At 39.0% G+C, this 22707-nt stretch overlaps 1 long non-coding RNA gene and 1 pseudogene across 1 annotated transcript in view; one reads left to right on the top strand and one right to left on the bottom strand.

Annotated features, from left to right (window-relative positions):
• LOC105369310 (uncharacterized) overlaps window positions 1–3921 on the top strand; it is a 49693-nt gene extending 45772 nt beyond the window's left edge. Inside the window, exon 3 of the long non-coding RNA XR_950121.2 lies at window positions 3331–3921. This is a non-coding gene — a long non-coding RNA (uncharacterized LOC105369310). The remainder of the gene's footprint in view (window positions 1–3330) is intronic.
• FADS2B (fatty acid desaturase 2B (pseudogene)) lies at window positions 2063–15785 on the bottom strand (annotated as a pseudogene).

Below are 22707 nucleotides of genomic sequence, written 5' to 3'. Positions count from 1 at the left end.
AAATGTGACCTATCACATGAAATAACAACTTATTATTCATTCTAACTATTTTGGGGGACACATCTCCAATATGAATCAAAATCCAACTCTGTGTTATCTGATTGACTTAAGGCTCAAACTGCTCAATGGGAGAGAGGGTAGATAAAAGTAGATGATTCCAGGTACCTTGCAACTTAGTGATGATGTGATTTATTTCCATCTTCTTAATACTTCAACGATTAAATATTTTTCTTATTGATTCTGAGTCTTCATTTTGATTATGGAAAGACTGTTTCTAGTATTAATAACAATTAACAATTATTAAGCATTTCCTGTATGCCAGACACTTTGTTGAGCATGACACATGAGTATTGCGTATAATCCTAACAACATCCTTATCAGGTTGAAGCCATCATCTATCATCATTTTACAGTTGAAGAAACTGTGGTTCAAAATCATTAAGTAATTTGTTCAAAGTGACTCAGCTCATGAGTGCCTGAATTCTCACAGAAGGCAGGTTCATTTTTGTAGGTTAGAATCACCTGGGGAACTTTCCAAAAATACTGATGTCTAGACTCTACTGGGGATGAATTTAGAATATCTAGAGATGGTACTTAGGCATTAGGACTTTAAAAAATAACTTCTTTAGGTGGCTTCAAATGATAGCCAGCATTGAGCAGCTCTGCTCTAGTGCCTGCATTATTTAGTGCTATGCTATGAATTCTCCACTGACCAGTTTATGTCCATTGGCTTAAATGCTTAACCCCTCTGAACATGAATTTCAACTGAAAACTAGGAGTGCTATATCCTCACATCATTAGAATTACTTGAGAAAATAGCCTAACGGGGCAAATTCCGAACCTGGCACTTGTCAGGCTCACACAATGTGAGTCCCCATCTGTGTTTCCTTATTGTTTGCTGTAAGTAGTTACTGCTCACTACTCTCTGTGGGCCTGGCTCCAGCATTGTCTTCATGCTTTTATTAGTTGGCTACTTCCAAGCCACTACGGGCTGGGGAAGCAGATAACCAGAATGAGATATATGTATAAAATCACTGTGTTAGGGAAGAACTAATAGGCTCTGAGTCAGTGCCCATAGGTTTTTCCTAAGGGATCCCGGTTTGAATGCAAGGATTTGGTTTAGTGGAAGGCTCAGAGACATTTGCTTCCCTTCTAGGCCAGAGTACATAGTCACCAAACCCTAGAAAGTTCTAGAAAAGTAGAGATCTAGTTTAACTCCTAGTACTACTGATGGGAACACTGAGGACCAGGGATAGAATGTGATTTACTAAAGATCTCACAATGAGCACTGTCAGAGCCAGGCCTGGAAGCCATGCTTGGAAGTCCTGCACTGTTAACTGGTTCATTCATTCACTCTTTCTTTCTTTCTTTCTTTCATTCCTTCCTTCAACAAAAGCTTATTGAAGGCTCCCCCCCGCCGCCATGCACCAAGCACTCTCCTAGGTGCTGCACTGCAGTGGTGCATAGGACAGTGTACCTGCTTCCTGGAGCCCAAGTAAGAGGGGATAAGACCAGCTGTCATATCACTACCTGCTTTTTCCAGCAGTCTGGATTTTGCAATCCTGCACTCTTGAACAGAGCCATCTGGCTTTTCCTGACTAGTCTTTCTGTTCACTAGTATCTGTTTTGCATCTTTTCCTTTATTTCTTCATAGCTGCCTCCTCCTTGCCCAAAATCCCTTCTAAGAATATTCCCACTTATGATTTCACAATGCACATCTTCATTTTTCAAGGCACACACTTTCTTCTGTGAGGTGGTCCCTTAGGGCAGGGGGGTGCCAGGGATTTAGCCAAAGAGTCTACCAGGGTAATACAAAATATAAGAGCTTCTTAAATAGAACTAAATAAATCCTCACAAAAAATTTAATTTAAAATTCTCATTTCAGCACATATTTTATAGTGTTGTATTATATATTAGTACATATTATCTACCTTGTTAGTACACTTATATTTATTTGTGGGGTATCATAAATATTTTTTACTGATATCAATGTACAAATATGGGAACCACTCCTTAGGGACTCATGTTCAGGAATCCCCCTCATGCTCCCTGACGTCCCATACCTTGAGATGGCACATCACAAATTTATGCACCACGTGGTTCCACTTGGACTTCCTAAATATGGAAAGGTGCCCCGCGTCATGCTGCAAAAATGAGCTCTGAGCCTAGGAGAGAGGAAGTTACTGTTAGAGAAATTGGGACCCTAACAAGAAATCAATCAACAAGTCCCATAGTAGATTCACAACCTTATTTGGGAAAAGTGGGTGATCTTGTTCGACCTCCAGCCAAAATTAGTTTCTATTTCCCATACATATCCTGCCTGTTCTTTCCAACATTTATGCCTTTGTTGTATCAGCCTGGAATGCTCTCCTTGTCACTTTCAAAGGTTTCCAGTATGGAGTGCAAAGACCATGGTCTTTGGTGTCAGACAGATTTGAATTCTAAACTGTTCTTCACCACTAACGAGCTTCACGACTCTGGGCAAGTTACTCGATAGCTCTCACCTTCAGTTCTTCATCTGATAGAAGGGGACACTAATACCTAACTCACGGGGTTATTGTACTACATACCTATATGTAAAGTGCCCAGCGTATGCTAAGCACTAAACAAATATTTGTTTCCTTTCTTGCTTCCAAAAGTCACTTTTCAAGAAATTAAACAAGAGGATTTAAGAAAAAGAATCAGCATCCAGAATTCTGGAACCTCGAAACACATTGCAGTTAATTCTCTACAAAACCTTTTCCAATGATTCTAATGAGAATTAAATGCTCCTTTCTGCTCCGACAGTAATGCTTGTTCCTCTTCTTGGGATTAATATCATTGATTTGTGCCAGGCAGTGTGTTAAGCTGTTTGTGAAGGACTATTTCCTCCACTACACGACTTCTTTCTCAGGAGCAGGGAGCATGTTGACTTTTCCTTTGTATCGACAACATGGTATCACGCTCATAGAAGGCTATGTTCAGAGATTCATACTTCATTCAACAAAGATTTATCAAATGCCCTGCTAAGTGTCAGTTGCTATTTGTCATTTATGGAGGAACTCACACGTTCTGATTCTCACATAGGATATCACATCTGCCCTTGAAGAATTCATGGTCTGATGCATTGATAAATGTTGATTGATTAAAGAATGAAAGATAAATATGTGTGTGGCATGGCTAAGGACAGAACTTCAATCACTGAGATGGTGGGCATAAAACAGGGCAAACAGCAGCAATTGTCACTAATTAAACATTTGCCATAGGCCAGACACTGTGCTTTATATTTTACACATTTGCCTGATTAGTCCTTCTCAGAATAATTCCACATTCATTATTATCCTCACTTTAGAGAGGAGAGAACCAAAGCCCAATGAAGCTTGGTCACTTGCTGGTAAGTGCCTGACATTGATGAGTACCTTGCCAAGAAGTGTCAGGCAGCAGCTGACACCAATCTAAAGAGAGAAGAAGAAATTCTGAGCCTTTCTATGAGGACGCTGCCTGGGCTTAGTATACCTGCTTGCCTGAGAAATTGTGAGAAGAAAGGAAATGAACATAGTAACAGGCCAGCCACTGCCAAAATGATACACTATTAGCCACGCCAGCACTTCCAAAATTAAGATCTGCACAAAGTGAAGAAAGAAGAACCCCAGGTTGGCATGGAACATGTTCATAGCCTCTGCGATGCTCCACAATTCTTGGAAATCTTTTACCAACTGGGACTATGAAATAAATATTCAAAGAGTAAATTAGCTCTTTCAGGGGAAAGGGAATACAGATGAACATAATTAATAATTTATTTTATTAATTTTGTATACATCTCTTTTATTAATAGAATTTTATTAATACATTTAATTGTCCAGAATTAAAACCCCAAAACAATGAACCAGCAAATAAAACCTTTAAAAAGTTTATGAAATTTTTTTGTTGTTTTCTGCAGAAGTGAAAGATGAATAGTGACTTGTAAACTGTCCTAAAGCTGTTATGGAATTCAGAATTAGATTTTTTTCAGGGGATGGGGAAGGAGAGGAGAGGGCAGTGGAGAGATACATGTGCCTAACTGTTGCCTTGTAAACCACCAGAATTATTTCAGGTGTTGAGTGAGCTCTGGTTTTGTTTGGGGGAACTTGGTCATCTATATGGATCTGTGTTACCAGTTACTGGTATAGTTTACAAAGTGCTTTCCAGGCCATCAGTTGCTTAATGTGTAGAAAGGGTTATTTCATGGAAGATGGAGATTGTAGAACAATATAGTTCACTTAGATTAGCTCTCAGGATGAATTTTCTGAGAGCTGCTTAGTGGATCCCCCAAAACAAGGCAGGGCTTATTAGCGTGTGTGTACTCAGTTGGAAAGGTCTCGTTTAAGGGCCCTGTGTGTATGTGCATGTGTGAGTGTTCATGTTCAGCATTAGCATTGGTTTACAAGCTTGCCACATCATACTGGGGAGCTCACAAGGTTGGAAAGAAATATCTCTTGGCTTATTGACTATTATGGGTTTGAAACTAGGACAGCTGGGAAAGTGACCAGGTTATGAGAACTATAACAGGGTTGTACAGATGTAAGAAAGGAGAAATGTTAGAAACAAAAAAAAGAAAGAGCTATGAAAATAATTCCAGAAGCCAAAAATTTCAAAATTCACAGATACAACTTTTAAAGGACCCATTGCCTGGCAAAAGTTCTGGATAGGCTCATCTCCCAAACCCCATCAATCTTAGAATTCTTGTGGCCACAGGTTATTTTAATAATTATCTAATATTAATTTGCTATCTCTAGGGTGCCTCCAGCCTGGTCATCTTTTGCAAAACATTTATTGCAGAGTTGAGGGAGGTCAGCAAAACCCAGAAGAGTGACTGGCTTGAAGTTGTCAACAAGTCAGTGACAGGTGGTGAACTCAAACCCACACCTGACATCCAATTTTATGCTCAAATACTAATTTTCTATATACAGCAACTTGAATATCCATATAAATGTATTAAAGAAAATTTATGGTAGACCTTTATCTCCAGAGACCAACACTCTTTTAGATAATGATTATCTGATAGGTCTCAGTCGTTAGTGGGATTTTATTTTTCTTACAGGAAAAATTTAGGAAAAACAATAAAATTTTGCATCACCTTCACTTTTTAACCTAGAGCTACCTGACCCAAATGATGGGGACATATCTGAAAGTTTTAAAATTACTAGTACCATCATCAGTTCGTGATTATGATAATAAGTAAAATGTATTGAGCATTTACTGTGTTCCAGGCATTGTTCTAAGCACTTTAAATGATGACTTTACTTCTTTCAATTGTTTTCCCAATAACTCTCATAAGGTTGGTACCATTGTTTTCAGTATCTTATGGGGGAGAAACTGAGCCAAAAGAGGTTTGGGAACTGGCCTAGACTCACACAATTTGAGAATGGCAAGGTTGGGGTGAGAGTGCAGGCTGTCCATCCTACCATCCCACTCTTTGGAACAGAGCTGTGCTGTGGGATGAACATGGGCCTAAAGATGGAGCTTACCTATTAGTCTCAGATTTGCCCATAACCAGTTCTGTGTCCTCAGATTAGTCCTGCTCCCTTTGTGAGTCTGTTTCTTCATTTTTTTAAGAGAGAATAAAATCCTTGCTCCCTCTGCTTCACAGGGGTCTATGGATCCACACGTTATAAAAATTATTTCAAGAGTCAGGCAAATGTAAGCTGTTACAAAAAATAAATTTTGAAAAATGAAATTACTCAATATTAAGTAAAATTCCTCTCGGCGTTATGTAAAACCATCCCAGTGAATTTTTAGTCCTATGGAGACTCTGTCCTTTAGAAGACAGTATTCATGTAGCCAAAATATTAAAGAAAGAATGGCATTTTTCCTTGGGAATACCTAAGGGATTGGAGCCAGAGAGAAGTGATTTGGAGTCTCAGCTCTTTGATACACCAGCTGTCAGACTTTTAGAGAGTAATTTGTTTTCCCTGAATGATAATTTCCCCAAATGTAAAAAGGCTGTAGTTAGGATACGGTGACATCTTTCAATCAGTAGCTGTTTTTGGAGTTCCTACTACATGTTGATCCTGTGAAAGGAGGTCTTCAGGACACAGGGATAAGAAAAGTGGACATAGTCTCGCCTCTCATGCAACATATTTGGGCTGGGAACATAGACATAGATATAAAACATAATTAAAAGCAGTCAATGAAAAGGAAATTATATCCGTAAGTTCCCTGGCATGAGGTAGGTGCTTAGAGACATGAAATTACTGTTTGATGAAGGGATAAGAATTTTATTCTTTTTCTTCACTAAGATTTAAGAGTTCCCATGATCTAAAGAAAAAGGCATTGTTTTGAAATACGTGGACTCCATCCATTGACTCTACTGTGGTCCCACCCTTCACAGAAAACAGTTAATTGGCTTTAAAATATGCCTCGTCTCCATCCTTCTACACCCCTGGATCCTGACATCTCACTTACATTTTTGTGTCTTTCCTGGCTGGGCTCTCCTGGGGCAAGTTCTCCAATGAGCAGTGGCTTCAGGTACAACTGCACAATGTCAAGCTCTGGATGCATGGCCCTGAAGACATCCTGTAAATCAGAGATACCTGTCAGAGGCTTTGAAGAGACATGCTTATCCACAGATCCGTTCCTTTTCTTATCTTGTCCTGTGCTCAGTCTGGGAATCAGCACAGACCTCATTGCAGAGGATTTTCTTGTAACTCCAAGTTAATGTTTCCAGTTGATTGATCAAAATTATCCCTGAAAACCATCTCTGTGAAAGTTTCCTGCTGGAGACCCACCTACTACGTGTACTGCTTCTCTAGGTATGACCAACACAGTCAGGGGATCCTGGAGCATTGATGAGATCACTATTTTATTTATCACCAGAAGAAATAATTGAGTTTATGGGTTGGGATAAATCTTTATAAAAGTCCAGCATCAGTCTTAATGTGAAAGTTGCTCACACTATCTGAGACAGTGCGGCAACCAAGTTTGGCTATGCAAATTATATCTTCCATTGAGGGCTCTCTCTGGTTTCTTGGCCAAAGCCCAGGGGAATAAGGCCCCTTGAATTAGTTAATTCTAGAGAAGGACAGGTTAAAGTTGATGATTCCTTAAGGCAAAGGCATGAGAGATTATAAGAGCACAGCCCTAGAGCCCTGGGTGGTCTAAAATAGTACACCTTTGGCTAAGCTTGTCACTGAAGGAGGCTCCTCACTCTCTATTAAAAAAATGCTGTGGTGGCCTGTGCAGAGACTTGGTGACAGCCAGAAACAGAATAGAGGTGACAAACTATATTTTTCCACCTCAGGTGCATGTTAAGTAGCAATTCCGTATGGCTATGAGAAGCAGTGATGGTTCCTATATCCTGTTTATGTTTGGAAGAAAGAGAGTCTTCTCTTCCAGGGATTTAAATTGTTTCTGGAAAGAAGAAAGATTTTCCAAGAGGGAGATGCTAGACTTGTTGCTATTATGGTTTGGGGAAGGGAGTAATTAAAAATGAAGAAATATTACCAAAGTTGTAAACTGTATATATGGAAGCCATACAAATTACTCTGCAGTGGTGGTGTTGCGTTATACTGATTACGAAAGTGGACGCTGGAGCCAGCTTTCCTACATGCAAATTCTAGCATTGCTACTTACTAGCTAAGTAATTGTAGGCAAGTCTCTTGAATTGCCTGTGACGCTTCTATATTATTTTTCCTAAATGGGGGTGATGATAATACCCGCTCAATTCATGAAGTTATTATGAGGGTTAAGTAAATTAATAATAATGCCAAGTGGCATTTACTATGTTTTAAACACATCAGATATATTTCATATGTGTATACCTCCACTGATAAGAACCCACTACCTACCTTCTCTTCAATATTCAGAGATTTCCTCCCTTTACCTCAATGCCTAACGTGGAGTGAGCTCTGAATTATATTAATGAATATAATGAGTGCTACATCTTCAAATAGTAAATCAACTTTAGATATATCCAAGAATTACATATGAGCCTACTTATTATTGTAGTATTATAATAATGCTTACTTATAGAAGTAAGAAGGTATTTTTATAATGAACAAGGTTAATTAGAAGGATACAATATCAACTCTTTAGACTCATTTCACCTATGGGTCTCCAGATGCAATGACGTAAAATGGGCCTTTATCTGTTAGAATCAGTCCAGGCAGTGAAGTGCCATTGCTTCTTTTGTACAGAAAATGCCACCAGTGTCCATTCTGCTTCTCTACATGCCCCCTGAGTCCCTTGGGAAATGCTGGACTAAATAATTTCAAAGGTGTTTAAATTTTTCACATTTATGATACTAAAGTTTAGGTCCCCTAACCAGGAAGAGTGATTCAGTGATGAAGAGGGTGATTAAAATATCTCATTGTGACCCGTACTGAAAAATCATGTGCTGCTTGTTGTTTCAGAGCAGATTAGGTTGGAAGACATCCTGATGGATCAAGATCAAAGTATAGAATGTAATCAATTGCAATTTCGCTGTACTCTGAGCAGCTATCTAGAGTCCTGGAACAGTGTACTGACAATAATATTCTTCTGGGTTCATTGTTTCTTCAAATCCCCAGGAAGGTTCGTAGGTTAAAACTGTAACAACACATACGGGGATGCCGCAGAGATTTTCAGAACAGTAGACACTGGCCTGCTCTGTGGAACTCTTTCCTGCATCATTGGGGCAGCACAAGGAAGGAGTTTAGGTAGAATATTCTATTTGAAAGAATCTTCAAACAGAATCTAGATACTAAGTTGTGAAATTCTCTTCGTGAAAAGACTGCAATAATGCAAGTCCTGTTACCAACATTCTTGGGCCAAATGTGTTTCTGCTGAAAGACGGAGAGGGGATAAAATGAAGAGTAGAAGGGGTAGTGTCAGTGTTTATGAAGTGTGTCCTGTGTACAAGGTATTCTATGGGCCAACTCATAGTCACCATTTTAGTTCTGTGAGGTTCTGTCACTTTCATTGTACAGATCAAGACACTAAGTTTCAGAGGGGAGATGTATCTTGCCCCAAATGCCACACTCAATAGCAGAGCCAGGGTTTGAATTCAAGGTTATGCAATTCTAAAGCCTTAAAGCCCTAAAGGTCCATTCCAGCCTTAACACATATAGATTGTGTTCTTAAAGTCCTCCCAAGAAAGGAGTGATGACAGATTGGGGATGATGCTAAATCAGTATGTATCTGCTTGGCAGATGGTAATGGCGTGTCCCCACCATAGGGTTGAGTCATGTAAAACATTTGCTTCTGTCTCCAACCTGCCTCCCTAGACTCACCTTCTCTATACCCTTCATGCCTCATCTTCTCTACTGGAGCCTCCCCATTCAGTATGCATTCCGTGGCCTTCTGTATTTCTGAGGCTTTACACTTACTGCTCTCTTGGCCTTGACTACCTCCTTCATTTTCTCTCTTTAAAAGCTCCTCTCACCCTTCAAGGCCCAGGTTAAATACTGCTTCCCCCAATCACTCAGGAAAATGATTCATGATTGCTCCTGGGTTCACACGACACTTTGTTCCTAGAGCTTTTCAAATTTATACTATGCTATGCTATGCTATGCTATGCTATGCTATGCTATGCTATGCTATGCTATGCTATGCTATGCTATACTATACTATACTATACTATACTATACTATACTATACTATACTATACTATACTATACTTATACTATAATGAATCTGTGTAATCACCCTTTTTTTTAGTGGTTTGTGAGTTTTTTAAAGACTGGGACCATGTACTATTATTGGTTAATGTATACCTAATGTCAATCACTGTGCCTAAAGTATAGCATGTGATCAATAGACACCTGACAAATAAGGGAAAGGGTGAATGAATGAACAGATATAGCATTTCTATAACAAAGTATTAGGATAATCAAAGTGTGGCACTCTAAGTATACAGGTGTTAAGCGCTGCTGTCTCTTCCTATCCACGGCATCTCTATTTTCTGATCTTTTTGTGACTTCAGCATCTCACATTTTCATCTGTTAGTCTTTTGGCTTCCTTCTCAATCATCATCTTTACTATTTAAATTATTCATAAATTTATACCGTAGCTCATCTCGTAACTGATTATTTCCAAAATAGTAACAGCATGGAGAAGATGTGATTACTGCTTTGCTTTCACAAATACCTTGGATAAACTGCTAATTTTTTTGCTGTTATTTGGTGGGAGATGGAGTCATGTGCTTTCCTGTAAAAGCAGTATGATCCCTAGTGGAAGAGAAAAGTATATAAAGTCAGAGGGTGTGAGATAAAATTCTGTTTTTACAACTTAAATGTTGTATACAGGCTGTGACCTGTACAAAGGCACTCGGCCAAGATGGCAAGTGTGGCCTGACTTCCAGTGGACACTCCATTTGCCAAACCTTGTGCCTATAGGGCTGCAATCACCCAGAGAGTGTGCCTTTCCTAATTCACACTAAGGCATAGTATAGGGTAGCAGAGGAGTAGGCTGTTTCACACACAGAAATTACTTAATTTCTCCTAAATGTAGATAACACTACCTAATCCTCTCTATGAGCTCATTAATTCCTTCATTCATTTATTCAGTCATTCTAAAACCTATGGAGGACCCAGCCTAGAGGTTAAGAGCTTAGATTTTGGAGTCAGACATCAATAAGTGGCCATGATTATATATGATTATCACTTAGTTCATTTGAGGTGGGTTGAAATTTCCCAAAAGAAGTTTACTAAGGAACAAACGTAAATTTAGAAACCATCCATAGAGAGTGTTGTTATCCATAAAACAAGTTATCCATAAAACAAGATAACTAGAATATAGACCTTGGTGTACTCACTGCAAAAAAAAAAAAAAAGCTCACGAGACTCTTCTATATCTAGCCACAGATGAAGACTCCTGCTCCCACACCTTTGGGTAATTCCTCTTCTGTTTCCTTCTTAGATTTCACCTGCCCTAAGGCAATGGCTAGAGCAAGTCTCTACAAATTTCAGATGGACAGTGAGTTCTGAACAGGCCAATTTGTGTGGAGAAAGCATCTTTGCCCTTGTCCTGGGAGACAGCTGCTTTGGAGTGGGAATGATCACAGAAAGTCACCAGATTCCTCTTCACCCATAGGGATAAGCAGAGGGTTATATTCCCACTGCAACTCATACTATTGTTTGAACACTTTTGTTTCTTGAAAACTCTTCCTTATATTGAGATTTTTTTCTATAATGCTTTCAGCTGAGCTCCAGCCCAAATGAAATCAACTCTCCCCTCCCCTTCCACTTCCTTTCAAACCTGTGCATTCTCCTGGGCTTCCTTGTAATAGATATCACCACTCAGTTGCCCAAGCCCGATATCTATAAGTCAGCTTAGACTCCTCAATCCTGCTAGTTTATCAAGTCACTCTTCAAATATTAGAAATTCTGTCTTCTAAAAATCCTTCCCACCCAGCTCCTCTTCTCCATTCCTGTAGCCAACACCTTGCTTGGGCCTTCAACATGTTCCCTGGACTCCACCCTGGTCCTCCTTCATTTTGAGAGGCTCTTTTGGATTTCATCCTTCACTTAACTGCCAGACTCAACTTCCAGAAAGGCACTGTCTCCTCATGGCCCATTTTCATCTCTTAGCACTTGAACTTCTTTCTCTCTCCTCTCCTCCATCTATTTTACAACTAGAACTATCATTTCCACGAGAATCAGATAATTTTAAAAGTTTTGATGACGCAGGAAAGATGTAATTATCACTGATTATTACTTTTCTTTTACCAACAGCTTAGAAATGCCAGGTGATTGTGTTGTGAGGATGAAGGTGGGAGGGATGCTGTGCTAGGGACACATTCTCATGTATAGTAGGAAGAGAGGCAGCAATGCAGTAAGGATAAAATGCAAACTCCTTAGCTCAGCACACAAGATCCTTTCTCTCCCTCTGCTTTCTCTTTTCTCTTCCTCTATCTCTTCTCTCTCTTCATCTTCTATCTGTCTTCTCCTTTTCTCTTAGCCAGTGAATTCCTCTGTCATAACCACTACCATTAGTTAGCATGTAGTTTCGGCCAATATTGTGCTAAGTAAAGGAAGTGTCCAGGCTGAGATGCCCATTCTGGTGGGGTGCTTATGCCATGAATCATATTTATACTCCATTTCTGTATACACCCTCCCTTTCCCCTGCCCCAGCCTTGCCTCTGCTGGCTCTGCTCATCTGAAACCATTCAGAATGCCCTCTTTTGGTGCTGCACACAACTCTTCTTCTTCCACATACCAGTCCTCCAAAGAGCTGAAATGGATCCTGCCATATTTCCTATAAGATTTTGTCATTCTTTCCCATCATGTTGGACTCTGACTCTCATGAGAAAGAACTTCAGTTTCTTAGTCTCTCTATTAGAGTGTTGTGTCCAGAAATAAGGAGTGTGCTAAACAGCACACAAGATAATAAAACTGCTTTCTTTGTTCTGATTATGCTGCCTCTCTGAATGCATCATAAGATTGCAATTATGTTTCTCGTGGAGCTCAGAACATACTGTTGTTTTATACAAAATTTGTGGCCAGCTATTTGTTCATATATATTTACTGTCATCAAAGTGTTTTGTAGGTCAGGTGCAGTGGTTCATACCTGTAATCTCAGCACTTTGGGAGGCTGAGGCAGGAGGATGGTTTGAGGCCAGGTATTAGGAAACCAGCCTGGGCAACATAGTGATACCCTATCTCTACAAAAAATTTAAAAAATCTGGCTGCGATGGCATACACCTGTGGTCTCAGCTATTTGGAAGGCTGAGGCTGAAGGATCGCTTGAGCCCAAGAGTTGGAGGCTGTAGTGGGCTATGATCATGCCACTGCACTCTACCCTAGGCAGCAGAGTGAGACCCTTCTCTAAGAAGAAAAATATGTTTTATAATCCTAATTTTAATGATTGCAAAATAGCTTATTGTATTGTAATTATAATCTATAGAATGAATCCTCCTTGTTGTACTTACAGGTTGTTTCTGGATTTTCCTAGGTGAGCTCTTACAGATAAAAAGAATGTGGCCATAACTCTAGTTATTAGCATAGTGACATTAGTTTTAAACCATATTGTTTGAAAATACCAGATAAATCATATGTGCAATAACAGGAACTTATATACCAATTTTGTTTTATAGATTTATTTTTCTTAGTAAAGTTCCTTGGAGAAAATGGAAACCCATCTCAGAAGACTGAAGTAATAATAAAATACAAGAGCTGCTATGTTTTGAGTATCTAATTTGTACCAAGCACCACAGTGAGCACTTCATTTGATCTCTGCTGACTTTTACGGCAATGCTAAGGTGAAGGTATTATTATCCTCATTTTCTAGATAAGGGAGCTGAGGCTTCAAGAACCTCAGGACATTCCTAGTAAATGTGGAGCCCAGATGCAAAGCAGACCTGTTTCATTCCCATGAGGCTGGAACCCTAACAAGAGTTTTGGAATAACTGACTGCATGAATGTATGAATTAATGACCCTTTGGGATAGATTACGTAGATACCATCATTCACCTTTTATGAGGATGATGGAGACCTACAGAAGATTACGATGTATATAAGAAAAGGGTGCTTTCTCTGGGCAGGTGCAGCCATGGGCCTGGGGCTGACACACAGTGAGAATACTTTGGCTCACACTTGCCCCTCAGAGGCTCGACCTGCAAACGTCTCTTAAGCTATAGGGTGAGCATTTGATCTCACGCCTCCTGACTTTATGATCTTCCCTCCTTCACTGGAAAGCATGATGCTTCATTATATAGCCCTCTGTTCCCAATCACACAGGATTTCTAAGCTAGTGGTGAACAAACAAGAAATAATAATTATATTTCTGAGGATAAAGATGCTGGTGATAAGACTGATAATAGATAAGACTGAATGAACTTTTACTAAGTATCTGGCACTAATGCCAAGCACTTTACATGCGTTGGTTCTATTTGCCATAAATCACTCAGGTGGGTAATGTCAGCCTCATTTTGCAGTTGGGGAAGCTGAGGCTCAGAACATCCCAATAACATTCCTAGGTTCACATAACCTATTCCAAAGCTCAGGCTCCCTGTACTCTGAGTCATGGAGTACTGTGGATTGTTCTAGCACTCCCTGTTCCTTCTTAAGCCATTTTCTCTAGGAGAATCTTTCCTCTGGACATTTTTTATCTATTTTCCTAAAGTCTAAGATACGTTACTGACCAATTTATGATTTTCTTCCTAGACATAGGTAAATCCTAAGGTGGCATGGGTATTTTCCCACAAGATTCTGATGGTTTCTATTATATTAATCAATTCCTCCTTGTTGGCTATAATTGGACACAAACTCAGGGTCTTTTCCTGACTTCTAGGAGATAAAAATCATTAGCAAATTAAAACTTTATCATCTATCTGGGCTGCCTCAAACTGAGTGAGGCTATCAGTTATTTTTAAGGTGGTTGAAGGCTCACATCTTTGCGAACACATCCTCTGAGCTAATTCTGTGACTTGTGTTAGCAAAGCCTCATCTGTATTTTCTCTGAGTTGTAGAAATGAGGGGATGGGATAGATAGGCATCTGTAGTATGTTTTACATTTTCTTCTTGTTTTTTTTTTTGTCTCCTGTTGTTCTTACACAAATGCTCTTCTTGCTTCTTCTACCCTCTGCTCTCTGATTTCTGGGCACTGTGTACAAGCTTATGCTTATTTTCCAAGGAAAGTTTGAACTTTGTTTAAGAAATATATCTGAGAGAAGTGGTGGGGCTGTAGCAGGGCATACTCAGAAAGGTATTCATCTGACTGTAGAAACAAGATAGGAAGAACAGGAACCTAGACAGACAAGAGGGATGAGAAATTGGGGGAAAAGTAAGAATTGAGGAAAAGAGATGCAGATGGCATCAAAAGATGAAATCTTGCAGGTATTTGTGAATTTTGTTATTATTAGTACAGTACCATGTATAGACTGGTACTTAGCAAAATAATGTTTTCAATCCGATCTTTAAAACCAGTTAAAGAAGTTATATGCTAAACTGTAAAACCAACAGGAGCCACATACTTTTTAAAAGCCTGCATTTAAATTTCTATTCTGTCATATATTAATTTCTGATCTTGAGTTAGTTGTTTAGTTCCTCTAATTCTGTTTCTTCGTCTGTACAATGTGGGAAATAAAAGTCCCAATTGAGAGAAAACTGACTTCTTTATGGAATATTTTAAAAGAGATTCCTTAAGGCATTTAAGATTTTGAGACACATTTTTATCAAATATTAAGTAGAAATTTTATTTTATTTTTTACAATCCAGATATTTAAGGCTTTAGGATCAAACCGACCTGATTTCAAAATTTGGCACCATTACTTGCTGGCTGTGAGACATGTTATTTACATCTTTGAATGTCAACTTTGTAAGAGTCTTATAAATTTCTATTTAGGTTCAGATGTTCTTTTTTTTCCCAGATTTTACTCACACATTTATCATTTTCTTCTTATAAGACAGTGACTCAGCTTCAAAACGAAGCAAAACAAACCACCAAGAACAAAACAAAACTCAGAATATGCAAACATAGTATTCACTGGCAGCATCTGAACTCATCCCAAACCAGGTGCAGCTCATAGCTAGACCTTGAGGCTTAATTTACTACTAAAATTTTGCTAGAGAGGAATCCTGAAAAATTGGTTTGTGAGGAGATGAGTGATTGTGGAATGCTTTTGGGAGGAGAGCCAAGATCTCAGCCACCCAGCAGCTGGGGGAAAGACGGAGAGGGTTGGGGGGAAAGCTTGGAGTTTCTTACCATGGCATCTTCCCCAGCACAGTGGTTGAGGACCTGGTGCCCACCCGGATGCCTGTCGGCCCAGCTGGAGACATTGTAAACCTTGCAATTGATGACCAGTCACTGGTCGGCCTCGTGATTATGCCTCTGGATCTCCAGCCAGGTGTACATGCTGAGGCTTTTCCTGGGCGTGCTGCATTTCCCATTTGCCTCCTGCTTTGCATAGACCTCAGCTTCCCCATTTGCTATGGGTTTTCCTTTTGGCTGATGCTTCTCACCCGGGTATGACTGATTCCTTCCTACAATGCTCCCATTGTCCCCACACTTTTCTTCAAATTTCATTGTCATCGAATCCCTAGGATTTCTGGATTAATGCTTGAAATTTCTAATCCTCGCCTCTGATTGAACCATAAAATGACTGCCTTTCTCCCTTTTCATTCCATTGCAGTATGATACCTACACTGAAAACTTCTGAGCCTAGTTGTCTCTTCACAAACCTCATAGTGAGCACCTTCCCAGCTTCTCACTTCTTTGCCTGTCCTGAATCTTTTGTGCCTTGATGAAGGCTAGGCCACCTTCCTTCCTTCTTTCGCTCTTCACCTCTCCTCTCTCTGTTCTCTAGTCTCGTGGAAGCATCCTCCTTCATCATTAAATGCTCCTTAGTAAAGAGCCTAGGCCAATCACACTCTGGCCTCATGTTGTGGCCCTCCCTGAGAGAGGAGGGACTAAGCTGTGGTCCTGGTGATTCTCTTGCACAGCCTCAAGGCGTGTTGGGTTCATTAGGTCTCTGACTTGCCTGTGATCAGAGACTTTTAGATGTACTAATCCAACATATGAGCAAAAGCTTTCAAAATCTCCAGGATGACACAACTTGGACTTGGGAAATGTTCTTTGGACAGCTATTATTTATCCCGAGGACCTTTTAATTCTTTTAAACTTTTTTAAAAGAAAGGTTTGGATTACAATAAGTTAAATAAGCCAGGAACAGAAAGGGAAACATCACATGTTCTCACTTATTTGTGGGATCTGAAAACCAAAACAATTGAACTCATGGACATAGATTATAGAAGGCTGGTTACCAGAGGGTGGGAAGGGTAGTGGGGGTTTGGGGGAGTGAGGTGGGATGGTTAATAGGTACAAAAAAATAGAAACAATGATTAAGACCTACTATTTGATAGCACAACAGGGTGACTGTAGTCAATAATGACTTAATTGTACGTTTTAAAATAACTTAAAGAGGATAACTAGATTGTAACTCAAAGGATAAATGCTTGCAAGGGTAGATACCCTATTCTCCGTGACGTGCTTATTTCATATTGCATGCCTGTATGAAAACATCTCATGTACCCCATAAATATAGACACCTACTATGTACCCAAAAACATTACAAATAAAAAAATAAAATAAAGAAAGGTTTGGGCTTTATTTTACCAAAAAAGCACATCAACATAAACTGGTTTTTCTCTCTTGTGATTTCCCTTTGAAAGCTGTTTAAATCTGTCAGCACACGTAAAGGTAATCACAACTGATGTTTGCGAGACCACATGATGGTTTACAAAGCTGTTGTCACATGTTTGATCTGATTTAAGCCTCAGTTCAATCTTTTGAGGGAGGTGCTATTAGTGCCCCATTTTCCAGGTGAGAAAACACGGACAGAAAGCCTCTCAGGTAACATTCCAGGATCATCTTGTGAGTGAAAAGTGAACTGGTGCATTGATCTAGATTTTCTGATTCCAAATCTCCAGCTCTTTCACTCTGTTTCCCATACCTTGATCTAGACATTTGTAATAACAGCTCTGTGGTTTATAAACAAAGCAGGAGAAATAATTTCAGGGTGGTGGAGGGGGGAAGGGTCTTAGTTTTAAGGAAAGAGGCTACATAAAATAGAAAAAATATATTCTCACATTTGGGAATCTGTACTAACTTAATTATCAGTCTTTCAGTTCAAGATTTATGTAGAAGGAGATTTATTTCAATATTATTTATAATTGTTAAGATCAGAATAATGATCTAAATATTTAGCAATAAAGACTGTGTTACTATGTAATAAAGTCTGTATATACTCAATATTACATAGATATTAAAATAAAGTACAAAGTATGTATTACTGAATATTATATAGATACTAAACAGGAAGTTTTTAATGGCATGGACTCCTGCTTGCCATATAAAAAAGAAAAAAATTAGTCAATAAATTGTATTTACTAGATAGTATATGATTGGAAGGAAATATGCCAAAATATTGGCATTATTTCTCTTTGCATTAAAACATTATTCAATATTATTTTCTTTATTTTTTGTGATACTTTCTCAGTTTTCTACAAATTAGTATTTTACTTTTATAATGTAAAAGGCAGTTTCTTTAATAAAAATAGAGAATCAAAGAAAGAAACTGATTTTGAAGCTCAGATCATATTTTGGCTTCCCCATTATTATCTGTGGAAGATCAGGCAAATTTCTTATTTAGGCTTTAGTTTCCCATCTGCAAAAGGAAAGAATGAGCACAAATTTCAGCATTACATTAAATTAACTTAGGTGCTGTGGTATTAACAGAAATCCCCTGCACTGTCTATGATTTCTGAATGGGAATTTTATAAATCCAACATATGCACACCGAGTATTTGTAGGTCCTAGGCGTAAATTCCTGACAGCTCCAGAGTTCCGGTATAAGTGAGGTTTTGGGGCAAGAATCTGGTTGGAAGTTTGGTGAGGGCAGGTCAGGGGCTTGTCCAGAGGAGTTGCCTGGCACTTTAAGTAAATTTAAGAGAATGTCATTTTGCCATATCATGATGATACGGTTTGAATGTTTGCCCCCTCCAAGATTCATGTTGAAATTTAATTGCCATAGTAACAGTATTTAGAGGTGGGACCTTTAAGAGGTGATTAGGCTATGAGGGCTCCATCTCATGGGTGGGATTGGTCCCTTTATAAAAGGGCAAGTTCAGTCCCCTCAAGCCCTCTCTGTCATCCTATTGCCTTCTGCCCTGTAATGACATGGGAAGAAGTCTCTCACCAGATGCTGGCACTGTGATATTGGATTTTTCAGCCTCCAGAACTGCGAGCCAATATATTTCTGTTCATTGTAAGTTACGCAGTCTCAGGTATTTGCGTGCAAACTGTTTGGAAGACTCAGAAAGTATTTGTAATGAGAGCTTTCCTAGCAAAAGCCCTCTGTATGCTTGGCAACTTTAAAATGTTCCTTTTCAGATTGGATGCAGTCGGAATATGGGGATATGTTAGCTATGTTCAATTTTTTCCCAAAGTCAGAAACAAATGTCCTAGCATCACAGAGAACTGACCCCTTCTCAGTAACCACTCCCCACCCCCTTCCCCTGGCTCCCTCATATTTTAATGCTTCCTGGTGGAAAATTTGGTAAATTCCTTGCCTCAGATGTAATGCTGAAGATTACAACAATTACAAAAAGAAGTGTTTAAACCAAAGTTCTTTTAAGGATAAGATTCTGAGGTGTGAATCCCACACTGAACTATTTGAAAAGCAGGCATCTTTTGCTGGTTGAAGGTGAATGATTCATTCATTCATTTATGAATCCATCCACCAAACCCATATGGAGTGGCTTCCATGGGCCAGCATTGTGCCTCTAGGACTTTTCACCATCTTTAAGACAACTGGGCCATTTTCACATCGTCTCTCAACAGGGCAGCAGAATAGGGATTACTGTGACTCAAATATGTGTATTCAATTACTTAAGATACTCAAGGCAGTATCCCTTGGCCAAAGCAGTTTGACCTTCAAAATCCCAGTATCCCTATTTCTCAGCCTGAAACTGGTCAGAGGTATTATATAAGTTTTTCCTGCTGCCAAAAACCATCTTGTCTTCATGTAATTTATTGAAGTTTTCACAAGAACTTATTATTTTCTGATGGCTACACTAGATAATCTGGAGATGTGAGATGAACAAAACTTTCTTTTCTCTGTATGAGGAGCTGCTGAAATGAAACAAAACAAATAAAGAAAACACACTGCCCAACTCCCTCCATTCCTAAGCATGTGGTTTCTTTGTAGAGAGCTAGATTTCCAGGATTCAAAATCCAGGATCGCTTCTTCTAGTGCTGTGAACTGGGACAAGTGCCTTAATCTTCCTGTGCCTCAGTTTCACATTTCTAAAATAGAGAGGAAGCTAATTATACTAATGCCTAATAGACTTTCCATTGTAGAGATTAAATATCTTAATTCATGTATCGTGCTTAAGATAATACCTAGATGTCCCCGAAGTAAATATTAGCTACTGATATCATTTATTTATCTCCGAGTCAGCATATTACTCAACCTCAGCAATGTTCAGTGAGCACATGCAATCGCCAGGCACTGAACTCTGAACTGAATAATTCAGTGTTCCTAAAGGAAGTGGGAATACAGTCAGTTAATGGGCAAGAAAAAGAGACAAACATGTATTAGTTCAATAAAAGCAGTGGGAGAAAGAACATCAAAGCATTCATCACAGACTGAAGAAGCACGTTGATCTTTCCTTCTCCCACGGACAAGGGCTTGATTTTTGGAATCACAGTTGTCCCACTTTGAATCTCTCTTCTTCAGGATCCTTCACGCCTTTTAAATTAAGAAATGAACATTCTCCAGCTCCACAATGTCATAAATCAACCAAAAGATCAAGTTTATGGACAGTTCTATAGTAACACCCTCAAAACCAAAGCATTGCTCTTTATGGTAAAAAAATGGAAATCATTAAAAAGAATTCTACAACAGGCTTGGATGCCAGCCTATGCCACTTTGAGGTTCTGAGGATTCAGACTCTGTAACCAACAGAGAAAGAAGATCGTTTTTGAAGATAGCAAAGAGAGCAAAAAAGTGCCAGTGTTAGCATAAAAACTGTTCATGTCTCTTTTATGCTACTTCTTTCTAAAAAGCTGTGCATCTTTATATGAGGCACTTACCCTCTCTGAACTTCAGTTTCTTTCTCTGTTCAATTAGATATGATACCTATTCTGCTTATCTTAAAGGGCCGTTGTGAGGCTCAAAAGAGACAATGAAAGTACAAGTATGGTTTTAATGCAGAAATCTGTTATTAGGTTAGTAATAGTGTTAATGCCATTAAAAGTAATGGCAAAAACAGCAATTACTTTGGTACCAAGTTAATATTATTATGATAATTGTGATTTTATAATGAGTACAAGATTTTCTATGTTCTCCATAGGAGCTATTCCAGCTGGATCCATTGTGTCACACAGAGAAAAACATAACCTTTCTTCTTAGCTACAGAACCATATAGAATGTTGGACTGAACATAAAGGGATTCTTCTGTTGGCTCACTACTTACCTATCTGTTTATAATGTGCTTTGAGATCCTTGAGATCTACTTTATTATAAGTGCATGTGAGTGCAGCTATTTTTATCATGGGCTGATTTGCTCATTATGATCAGGGCCGATCTGCTCCCCAGATGGGTTCATTTAACTTGAGGCACACCCTGGCTCTGTGTGTATGAACACTGTGTAAACTGCACTCCCATTTTTCCCAGGGCAACTGTTCTGAAGTGCTGCTTTATAATTTCAACAAAGTTTGTTTGAAAAACACTCAAATTAGCTACTGGTGCCTTGGCTTAAAAGAGTCTCATTGTCTCAAAGCAGACATTCAGGAAGGACTGCTTTAGCTGTGCTGACAGCCTGCTATTGGCTAGCCCTGATCCTGCCATGGGCAGGATTCAAGTGGGGCAGTGTGGCCTTGTTTTCACACAAACTCAAAGCAATCATTTACTTCTGTGGTCTCAGCTGCTGCCTTATCTCATGGGGGAAGAGGAGAAACAGAGGCCTGTTCTCAGGAACACCCAAAACGGTGCTCAACTAGTCAAGTAAGAGACAGGGAGTGGTGGAGGAAAGAGCAGGGGATTAAATTCCAACATCCAGGAGGGCAGGGATTTTTGCCTGTTTTGTTCATCACTGTAGAGTCTGGCATAAAATTAGGTCCTTGCTAAATATTTGCTAAGTAAATGAATAATGCACGAATGAATATCTCGGGGAATGGGACATCGTTTTAGGTTTGCCAATGACCTTTAGCTGGTCTCTTAGGTACACTATTGGTAGAAAGAAATTGAAGAGAAGAGACACTCGTGATGCATTTGCCATGCATCCCTCATGTTTACATACCTCTTAATTTTACTTAATTCTCACAATAGTAGTGTGTGATAAGTGTTAATGCCATTTCTCTCAAAGGAGAAATCAGGTTCAAAGAGAGGAAATCTCATGCAAGGAGTTAGATAGCTTAAAAGGTGTGGAAATGAAGATGGCTTCTTCAAATTTTTCCCTAAATACTCTCTAATATTTAAGGAAAATAAATGTAAGCTCTAGGGTTCAAGCTTCAAGTGGCTTCAAGTGACTGGTTGATGCAGTTTTATTTTAAAACTTCATGGCTATTTTGCTTCCTGCTCAGTAATATCCAGTTTAGCCTCACTTCAATTTTGGGAAATGCCGTAAGTTTATCCTATAGTTTCATGAGGTCCTTGGCCCATGGTCCCTCAGTCTTTTAAGAACAAAGTAATTTGGTTTAATTTTCCTCAGCATTTTATTTTTTAAAATTTCAAACCTAAAGTGCAAGAATAGGGAAGTGAATACTTATCTTTCTATCATCTGGATTCATGAGTTTTCAGAATTTTACCATGTTTGCTTTATTTATTTCACGTTGCATGTGCTATCAGTCAATCAATCATTTATCTCTGTCATTATTCATTTCTGTCCATTCATCCTTTGCTCTCTATCCATCCATCTATATTCATTCAGTTCAACTATCCATCCATTTTTTTTTCTGATTCATTTGAGAGTTCGTTACTGACATTGTGACACCTCACCCCTAAGCACCGTAGAGTGTATTATTTTTTACTGATAATTAATATCCATGATATTCATTGCATGGATATCTAGGACATGTATCTTCAGGGTAAGTTTCTAATGTGAAATTGCTGAGTCAAAAGGTGAAAATGTAGGCAGTTTTGTTCTATGGCCCTCCATAGGGGTTGTATAATCTTATACTGTCAGTAGCAATGTATGAGTTTCCTGTGATGAGGCTTTGAGCTTCCCGTGAAGCAGAGCCCAGTCTTGCCATATTGAAGCTGGGTATATAT

This window comes from Homo sapiens, chromosome 11 (assembly GCF_000001405.40).
Source record: "Homo sapiens chromosome 11, GRCh38.p14 Primary Assembly".
Taxonomy (NCBI): Eukaryota; Metazoa; Chordata; class Mammalia; order Primates; family Hominidae; genus Homo; species Homo sapiens.
Note: the sequence above shows the minus strand (reverse complement) of the source record. Positions and strands in the feature narration are given on the sequence as shown.